At 32.8% G+C, this 10,783-nt stretch overlaps 1 protein-coding gene across 4 annotated transcripts in view; it reads left to right on the forward strand.

The window, feature by feature from the left end:
* EMC2 (ER membrane protein complex subunit 2) overlaps positions 1-10,465 on the forward strand; it is a 45,573-nt gene extending 35,108 nt beyond the window's left edge. For all 4 annotated transcript variants that reach the window (NR_138033.2, NM_001329495.2, NM_001329493.2 and 1 more), the window contains 2 exons: positions 275-379; positions 7,781-10,465. Coding sequence is in view for 3 of the 4 variants with exons in the window: in NM_001329495.2 (NP_001316424.1) it covers positions 275-379; positions 7,781-7,867 (192 nt within the window). In the remaining variant the exon portion in view is untranslated. The remainder of the gene's footprint in view (positions 1-274; positions 380-7,780) is intronic.
* Positions 10,466-10,783: the final 318 nt, after the last annotated feature.

Raw genomic sequence — 10,783 nt, forward strand, 5'->3', positions numbered from 1 at the left:
TACCTTTAAGAGCTGTTACAGGTACATAATTAAATAATTTTAGGTATTATTTAAAATATCTTTTCCCTTTCCACTATTTTGGATTTATACTATATTTTAAAATATATTTTCATTTTTAAGCACTAATATTCAACTTTATGTTTATATTAAAAATTATTTTAATACAGTTTTTAAAAATTCTTTATTATCCCATTGCAACCATGTCCCTTATGTTTTTGATTATCTTGACTAGCAAAAAAGGAATTTTGCTTTTGATGTTTTTATTTGTTTTTAGTCGGCAAGTCATATTGCTTCTAATCCAAAAGCAAGTGCAAAAACGAAAAAGGACAACATGAAATATGCTAGTTGGGCAGCTAGTCAAATAAACAGAGCTTATCAGGTTAGTATTTATTGATCATTTTGCTATGTAGGTCAGTTAATGTATTTCTTAGTTTTGTTACTACAAACTACAAAGTCGTATGTCTAGCATTGGACTTATATATGCCTTTGGGGCTTTATCAAATGTGTTGTGTTTTGAATTAATTTGTAGTTTTAAGATTACCTTTTTTTCCCCTCAAGAGGAATCTGTTAGTATTATTATTTCATAATTAGCCTTACCATATGGAAATCTCAGTGGTTCTGCATTTGGCAAACGCAAAGTAATTCTAAAAACTCAGAAAGGATAAATAAATATCACGTCACATTTCAGAAGCAGATTGGGTATGTGAGTGTATTATTAATCATAGGTATCTCAAGAAATAGAAAAGAAGGAAGAAAGCCTTAAACTAATCAAACTGCATAACAAAGTTTGTGCAGTCTGCTTACACTTCAGATCCTTTACTGAAACTTCTCCATTTGTATCTTAGTTTTCTAAAGTTCGTCCTTAGCAGATTTTTTAGGAAATTATTTTTCGTTAGAAATTTGCTCATGGGAAAACACATCTTTTTATGTCTTTAGCCTTATTTGTCTATAGCCTTTATATTTAAAGGACAATTTGGCTTTTTATATACCCGTTAATACTTTACCTAAGTATCTTAAGCATACTGTTCAGTTTTGTTTTGTTTTTAATATAGACGAGATCTTGCTATATTGCCCAGGCTGGCCATGAACTCCTGGCTTCATGTGATCCTCTTACCTCAGCCTCCTAAGTAGCTGGGACTTCAGGTGCAGGCATCACCATGCCCAGCTATTTCATTCTGTTTCAGAATAAAATGTTGCCGTCAGGAAATATGATGCCGTCTTGACTTACTTTTTATCATAAGTGACTTGTCTGGTTACGCAAAGGAATTTTTTCTTTATCTTTAAAATCCAGTAGTCTTACTATGATTTGTTTTATTGATTATTCTTGGGTCAGTTTTCCCAAATACACAGTACACCCATTTAGTACATCAGTTTAGCCCTTTTATTTGAGAAAAGTTGCTTTTAGAATTACAAATATTTTTTTCTCTGCTTAGTTTTCTTTTTCAGGGTTTCAGTAATACGTGTATTAGACTTCATTTTTCTATGTCCTTTATTCATTTTCTTTCAAATTATTTTGTCATTTTCTGTATTTTATAAAAATATGAATTTGATTCATATTTTTCTTTCCTCCATGTTTAAATGAGGTAGTTTTCCTGGACTATTAGGAGACAATGTTTATGGAATGGCAGGGAGTTGGAGATAGGTTAGGGTAGCTTTCCCAGCTTGGCTATTCTATGGCCGTCTCCTTTTTTGCTAAAGAGAATTCAAATATGACCTCTTTGTATAGCCGGTCTTTCTTAGAACTGAGTATGAATGGCCAGTCTGTCTTAGAACTCAGTGTGACTCAGAAAGATTTTCTGGCTTCAGCCCTCTGTTCTGTTTCTAGAGCCCTCAAAGTCTTGAATTCTGAGGTGTTGCTCTCACTTTAAATGTTACATATTGTTGTTACAGTTTGTGTTTCTTCCTTTTTGTTTTGTTTTCTTCTGGGATTGCTGCCTCTGGGCATCACTCCTTTCCTCACCCCTCCTTGTCTGAACCATCTCTCCTTCTTGCCCTGGTGTTTCTGCCCTGTTCAGTTTGGTTTCAGTTTTTAATTGTTTTTCTTCAGGGTGTGAGGTTTTGTCCTTCTGGAAGAGGATGTTTGCTAGATATTTTAGAAATTTTAAGATATTAGACGGTTAGACTTGTCTAATCTCACATTTATGAGCAGTTTTTTACATTTATCTTTGTTTTGGAGCTTATGAAGACTTCTAGGCCATTGGCAGCTGCATCATCTCAGGTTTTCTTGTTTAGTGGATTAAGAATTCATAATTTGTTTGGTTTTTGGTTTCTTGTAGAGTAGTAGGTTGTCCTCTATTACTTTCTATTCCTCCTACCACACAGTTGTTAATCTTTTGTTGGTCATGCTGCTCTTGATGACATAGTCACATTCTAGGGTTTGGAAAATTGACTGTTACCTAGTTTTTTTGAAAATGTCACCTGTGGGCGTGGGTTCTGTTATGTTGGTTTTGGTGCTGGCTTTTTGTTGTTCGTTTTTGCCCTTCTGGTTGGAGAAAATTGAGAAGATTTTACAAATGTAGTGCCTCCATAATCACATCATTGAAAGTCACCTTTGTGTATTTTTATTGTCTGTTATAGAGCATGTTAGTTTTGTTGGCATATTCTAAGTCAGAGTATTTATAAATATTAGTGAGACTGTGCTTCTTCAAATGCAGTTTGGGATAGCTCAGATCTGTAATGGAGTTCCACACAGAGTAGGCTTGGGGGTGTGTGGGTGTGTGTGATTTATGTAATATTAAAAAAAAAGATTTGTGTAATATAAAAGTAACGTTATGCATACTACATAATTGTTTTTAAGATATGAGAAACAGCTACTCAGAGTGCTTTTTTGACATAACTATTTTAAAATCAATTTTTACTAAATTAATAACATAGAAATAAGAATTATAACAGAAAAAAGGATGCAAGTCATAAATGTGCCTTTCAGTGACTAATATAAGGTAAATGTATCCAGGCTAATAAATATAAACATTGCAGCATCCCAAAGCTCTCTTGGTAAGTCCTCTTAATTTCTCCTTTTGTATTCCTTAAGAGTACTCACTTATAACCCTATAGTTTATGGAATCAGCCAGTATGTATTCATTTTTGTCTTGCATATTTCTATCATTATTCAGTTTATGGGATTTATCCTTGTTTGTGTCTGTAGTTCATTCATTTTCTTCTGTAGTTCATTGTATGAATGTTATAATTTAGTTATTGCTATGCATTTGGAATATTTTCTGTTTGGGCTATTTTGAATAAACTATACTGAATATTGCTGTACAGGTCTTTTGGTGGAATATATGTGCAGTTCTGTATACCTTTGAGTGAAAATATGGGTCATAGAATGTATGTATATTTAACTTTAGTAGTTAAAGGCAATTTTCCAAATTAGTTTACTCCCACCAGCGGTAAGAGTTCTAATAGCCCCACATCTTCACCAACACATGGTTCTGTCAGTCTTTGTAATTACAGCCATTCTGGTACATGTGTAGAGTGGTACTTCATGGTTTTATTTTGCATGTCCCTGATGATCAGTTGCCATTTGGATGTCCTCTTTCGTGAAATGTTTTTCTCATTGGTTTGCATGACTTATTTCTTTAGTTTTTTGCTTATGAGCCCTTTTTTAGTTATATGTATAAGCAAATATGTATAACTTCTTACTTTTTTGCTCATATGATCTTGATGAATAGAAGTTCTGAAATGAAATGTGTTCGAATGCCTCAGTCATTTGTTTGTGTTTTTTGTGTTCTGTTTAAGAAATCTTTTGCTACTCACGGTCATAAAGAATTCTGTGTGTCTTCAGAATTTCTATTCTTTTACTTTTCGTATTTAATCCACAACCCATTTGGAATTGATTTATTTTTAATTTTTAATTTTTATTTTTTTAAGACAGAATCTGGTTGGTTCTGTTGCCCAGGCTGGAGTGCAGTGGCATGATCATGGCTCACTACACCCTCAACCACCCAGGTTGAGTTATCCTCCTGCCTCAGCCTCCCAACTAGCTGGTACTGTAGACGCATGTCACCGTGCTCGGCTAACTTTTAAATTTTTTGTAGAGATGAGGTCCAGCTGTATTGCACAGGCTGGTCTCAAACTCCTGGCCTCAAGTAATCCTCCTGTCTCAGCCTCCCAATGGAGTGCTAGGATTATAGGTGTGAGCCACCGCATCTGGCCTGGAATTGATTTTTATGTATGATGTGAAATAGGGGGTCCATTGCTCCCCATATGGATATCCAGTGTTTCTGTCCATCTTTGTGTTCCATCATGAGTCCCGTCCATGGAAGCTAGTTCAATGTAGTAAAGAGAAGATTACAGATTTGAACCCATGTTGTCTGGGTTCAAATTTTGACTCTGATATAATTATTAGCTATGCAAACTTGGATAAATTACCTAACATCTCTTGCTGTATCTTTTCTTCTGCAAGATGGCCATAATGAAATATTCTGAGAATTAAAGAAATTAAAACATAAGTTATTATGTTTTTCCTTTTCCCTGTCTCTTCAGTGTGACAAGACCCCCTTGAGGTATATTGAGATATAATTTACATGTAATCAAGTGCATATATTTTAAGTATACAGTCTGAGTTTTGACAAATGTGTACATCCCCTTACCAGCCCCCCACTCAAAATAGCATTTCCATCACCCAAGAAACTTTCCTTCTGCCATTTTGCAGTCAACCTCATCCCCCACTGGGAGACAGACAAGCACTGATCTGATTTTTATCACCAAACATTAGTTTTGCTTGTGCTATAACTTTGTATAAATGAGTTCATAGGTTATGTGCTCTTCTGTGTCTGGCTTCTTTCACTCAGCATGTTTTTGAGATTCATTCATTTACAGTCCATTTCATTTTTCCTATTACTTTGTCTACCCATGTATTTTCCACAAATTATGTAAAGGTAAATTTAAGCCCAAGCAAGGTATCTCAGTTATTACAATGCATGAATCACTGACCTCTGAATTTGATAAGCAAGTTTTTATTGTTTGGTTGTTTTTGTGTTTTTTTCTGGTGAGTTTTCTTATAGATCTTACAGAGAATTATGAAAGATTTACTTAAGCAAAATCTAACTGTATGAAAACAAAAATACAGTATTTGTGAATAATGTAAAAGAGTATATAACTTTCAGAGAATGACATTCTTGATAACTAGGTAAATCTTTGGGATCTCAGTGAGAATTTCTTAATCATATCTAGGAATATAAACCGGTATAGAGTATATAATATTTCGTATGGGATTTTTCTACGTATTTATAAATTAGGGAAAATTAGGTTTCAAGAACTGCTTTTCTTTCTTTGTTTCCACTTAATGATGAAACAGAATATGGCTACTATTTGCTCGTCAATTAGGTAATTGGTTTAGCATGTTCAGTAGAAGCAGACACATTTGATTAATGCACATGAAAAACTTTAATGTGAACCTACTCACAATGATTTTCCAGATAAATCCTTCTTTGTTGCACTGGTAAATCTGTGCTAGTGATTTATATGATATTTATGATTGCAGCAGTGATTCTGTTACTATCCTTTTGGGAAACAGAAAATTAAATCATGATTTGAGGGAAAAAATGATTCTGACTTAATCAGTTAAATTGCCATACAATTCTGGAATAGACAGAATAATTGCATGTCAGATTAAATTTGAAGTGATAGATTTGTATTTCCAACTTTCTTTTATTTGTTCTGACACAAGTAAATTTATTTGGTTTATTCTAAATTGCACTGGTTGTGAGTAATGTTGACACCATCTCAGTTGACTCTTTAAAATTAGCTAATTTTAAAAGATCACACTGTATTATTTTTATGTTTAAGTATAAACCAAGAAAAATACTGTATTTAAAAATACATGTTATGGTTTTAGCTCTACATAATTTTTTTTATTTTTACTTTGCTATTTAAAAGCAATTAGAATAAATGTTACGTGGTAATGTTACTATGTGATGTCCTATTCTGTACCCCTCCCCCAACCCATAAAACTTTTTCTCAGAATTAGACCTTTAAGTATCTGATTAGGACCGTTCCTATTTATGTTTCATAAATGGTGGTAAATGAAAAAGCTTTCTGTTTCTGGTAAATCCTTGTGTAAGTGAATTTATTAACTGGATAACAGAAGTAATAAGCATGCCTCACAGCCTTTAGTCCTCAGGGGAAATTATAAAAAGACAAAATTTTAAATGTGATATTGCTGTTACCATATTTAACATATGAATTCCTTAAATTCGTGATGCCTTTTGAAAGGCAAGGTGATCTTGATTTTTATGAGAAGCTTTTTTTCTTTTTCCTCTGGCATTTCCCCTAGAAACATCCTTTATTTACTTTTTCAAATCAGGATTCAGCTACAGAAACTAATCTAATGGTTTAGAGTGTAGGAAGTGAGGGAATCATAATGTTAAGCTGTAGCCAGAGGGGTCAGAGACAGGTTACCAATTCCTGAAGCTTGTTACTTCTATGATGTTACCTGTGTTTGATCACTTAATCTTTCTGAACAGGTCATGAGAAGTTTGCCAAATTAAGTTAATTACAGAAGACAAGAAACACATCATAAATCAAGTACTAAGTGCTTAAGACAGCATTGTTACTTGAAGAAATGATCATTCACTTGAAAATGTATTGAGTGGTTTGATGTTAACTTGAAAACACTAGATGTTGCTAATACCAAGTATTTTAATCATATTTAACCAGGGAGAAAATGGGTAACATATATATATATAAAATATATACATAATATATAATTAATATATATACATATATATAATATATATAGGTAACATATATATATAAAATATATACATAATATATAATTAATATATATACATATATATAATATATATATGTATATATATATACACACACACACACATACACACACAATAAACTTTCTCCCATCTCCATCAAGGAACACTTACTTATCTAGTAAATCTTTTGTTTTAAATCAGACTGATAAATGATGGGAATTGTCAGTCCAGTTAACAAACTCATTTTGAAATCAGCATGTGGTATTCAACAGTGTTTCCCTCCAGCGGTTATGTGTATGATATTGAATTTAATATGCCATGAATTTGCTTTTAAATACACAAATATAGGGTATATTTTGTGTATATATTGATGTATTTATTTTGTTTTCATAGTAAAATCCAATCCCAATTAGTTTTATAATGTAAATAAATTACAATTAATAAAGTAGAAATGCATATTTTAAAACATGTTTACATTGTTTTAATGTGTAGCATAGGTTTTTACTTGACAGCTCTTTGCAGAACCATATCATTTAGTTAACTAATAAATCTGGAAACTTAAAAAAAATTATGAGCTACTTTAAATAATTTTAGAGAGTACTTGCAACTTTAAAATGTTTAGTGAAATAACTTGTATTTGTATTGTACCTTTGTTTGAAATTGTAAAAATCTGTTTAGACATCAGACAAGTGGAAGTGGTTCACACTGCTACACTACATAAATATAAGCTAAATTGCATTTTAAAATTATACTTTTTATTTCATTATTTTGGTCTGAATAAGATAGTTTCAAATACATGATTTTATGGGTTATTATATTATGTAAACACTTAAACTGGCCAAGTGTGCAGTGAACTCTCTGTACACTTCAGCTGAAGGTAAGACCTTAAAGGAAAATGTCCTTAATACTCAAATTTTATTCTTATTGAAAAAGCAAAGAATATATTTGATTTCCTACTAGTGATAAAATAGTCAATGTTAAGTTTCATTAACAGTGTGAAGATTGTCATTTTTAACCTGCCACTGAAATTGAGCCTAATTGAGCTTTTTTTTTTTTTTTTTAATTAGTTTGCAGGTCGAAGTAAGAAGGAAACCAAATATTCTCTTAAGGCTGTCGAAGACATGTTGGAAACATTGCAGATCACCCAGTCTTAAGGTTTCAAAAACTCTTTGACATTAGATTTCACAACTGCACAATTGAACTTATTGGCCTGTAACTTATTTACTAAATGCTCAGTGCTATTTATATACTACAGTAATTTTCTGTTAAGAAGGCAGTTGTAAAGAATGTGTTTATATAAACCTAAAAATGCCTTTTACTGCTAAGTGGGGAGATGGGGGAAATCCATGGAAGAGAGATTTAAGACTTATTGATTGTACATCAGTCTCTTCATATCACATATACATGTATATATATAAAACTCTAATGTAGTATAACCTTGTTAAATAAACCATGATGATTTATTAAACTTGCATATGAAGATTCTAACTTCATTTTGTTATACTCACAGTGGATATATTGTTTAAGAACTCAGTTTCTAGTTAACTCCTTACTGGTGATAGCAAAGTCACAGCATATGTAGCTGACCGAAGCAGATTATTTTGACTTTGTTTATATTGTCGAATTGGATTTTGCTGTACATTCCAGTGGGCTATTTGAATTGTTTTATCTGCTGTAATATCCTTCTGATGAATCTTGCTTAAAATATGTCATTCTCCAAAGTTCAGCAATATTTCTTTGTAAAATTTTTGTTTTGATATAGGACATAATTGAGATTTTTACATATAAAATGCCTTAAGATAAATATGTGTTACGACACTTTAACTTTTATGCAAGTTATATTTATTGAATCCTTTAATAGTAAATTACATGAAAGAATATTAAAGAATCATAAAGAGTAGGGATTAAAGGGGTTGTAGTTATTTTTAATTTTGAAAAAAATAAGAAAATTAAAACTATCCTTAGAAACAAAAATGTTAAAATTTTCCTATTCTATCATTACCTTAGTTAGAATTTTTTATTTTTCTCTTTTCATAATAAACAACCATTATGCTACCTTCAACAGTATTTGACATGTTTCAACAAAATAGAAGAGACTTGAAAGTTAAATTTCATTTAGACACAAATCAGTTTTTAAAATAGCAACTGTTCACCGCAAATATTTATGGTATTTGTTTATAATAAATATATTTAAATTTATTTTTACTAAAAATATACAGAGGCATCTACAGACTTGTCATTGCTGCTTTGGACAAGTGGGGATTGTGGAGGAATTGACAATCTAGAAGTGTTTAGAAAGAAAAGTATTGTCAATATCAGCTTCTTTTAACCTTTTGAATAGTTCTGCTAATAAATTATTCTCCATATCTAGTCTAATCTTTCATATTACAGTCATTTTCGTTTTATTCTGCCACGAGTAATAGGCAGCTGATTAATATATTCTGTGAAAGAACTCTTCTCATCTGAAGGTAATTCTCTACTAATCTTTATTACCACAAAGATCCCGTCTTTGTACACATGAAATTAGTAACTGCATTTTCAACATGATGAACCATTTGAAATTTACATTTTCTGTAAAGAAAATAGTGCCTGCACGTTGTTTCACTACCTTTTCCCCTTCAAACCTCCTCCCCGTCAGTCACTGGATTAGTGTTTACTCTAGCAATTATATTTGTGTAATAAGTAATTCAGTGCCTCTTATAGCTGTCTGCCTTAGTTTCACTTTTTTTTTTTTTTTTTTGAGACAGTCTCGTTCTGTCACCCAGGCTGGAGTGCAGTGACGTGATCGCAGCTCACTGCAACCTCCTCCCGGGTTCAAGCGATTCTTGTGCCTCAGCCTCTGAGTAGCTGGGACTACAGGCATGTGCCACCATGCCTGGCTAATTTTGTATTTTTAGTAGAGATGGGGTTTCACCATGTTGGCCAGGCTGGTCTGAAACTCCTGGCCTCAAGTGATCTACCCGCCTCAGCCTCCCGAAATGCTGGGATTACAGGCATGAGCCACTGAGCCTGGCCAGTATCACTTTATTTTTTCAAAATTTTAATAACTTCTTTCCAAGATTTTATATTTGTTAAGCACATTGCCAATCCTTAGTTATTTATAAACTTCAACTTAAATGTACTGATAATCCCATTACAGCAGGCAGTTGCCTACAGCTATTACCTTTATTTCTTCTTTAGCAGTACCTTAGTTTGATCTGATAGTGGCAAGGATCCCTCTTCCTCAAAGAGATTAGGACCTTACCCCAACTCCAGAGGTTGCACCTTCATTGATCTGAAACAGAAGTGGTAGTTTAATTCTGTATAGTCTGATTAGTACGAGGCAGAACTTTTTGCAGTGAAGGAAATCAACCATCCATTCTGTCTCTCTATTGTGGTAGCTACTAACCATATGTGATATTGAGTACTTGATATGTGACTACTGCAATTGAGAAATTGAATGAAATGAACAGAACCCTACTGAGAAGGGCTTTCCTTTCAAATTAAAAAATCAGAGCTTTGTGTGGTAACAGTCATTGCCTCTTTCTCCTCTTTCTGGCCAACAGCATGCCTAAAGGTGCAGCTGCCATCAAACAACCATGAAACAGCAAATGTGAGAATGAAAGTTACATTTCAGAGATAGAACTGAAGGAGGATTAAGGGGATCCTGGGTCCCTGATATGGCATTGTTGAACACCCAAATCAAGATGAGCAATTGCCAAACTCCCCAATTATTAAATGAGAAAAAATAAACTCCAGATTGTTTAAGACACTGTTTGGTTTCCTGTTACTTTAGCCATGTATGTTTCTGACTAATATATCTGCTTATCTACTCTTCAACATTTTTTAAGTGTAAAACTCTTATTTTAGACATGTCAGGGATGCTATTTCAGAATCTAATCATTTAAAGCAAGGAGATAATTCCATATAACGAAAGAAGTAATGTCTTAGTGCAGCTCAGCTCCTAGCATTCTAAGCCAACAGAGGTGAAAAGGGGACATATTTACACAGCTTAACCATAAAAATAATACTGATTTGGGGGCACAAGAGGATGTAGAGAAAAATATAAAGGGAAGACCAGTATTTTAGTA

This window comes from Homo sapiens, chromosome 8 (genome assembly GCF_000001405.40).
Source record: "Homo sapiens chromosome 8, GRCh38.p14 Primary Assembly".
In the NCBI taxonomy this organism is placed as follows: Eukaryota; Metazoa; Chordata; class Mammalia; order Primates; family Hominidae; genus Homo; species Homo sapiens.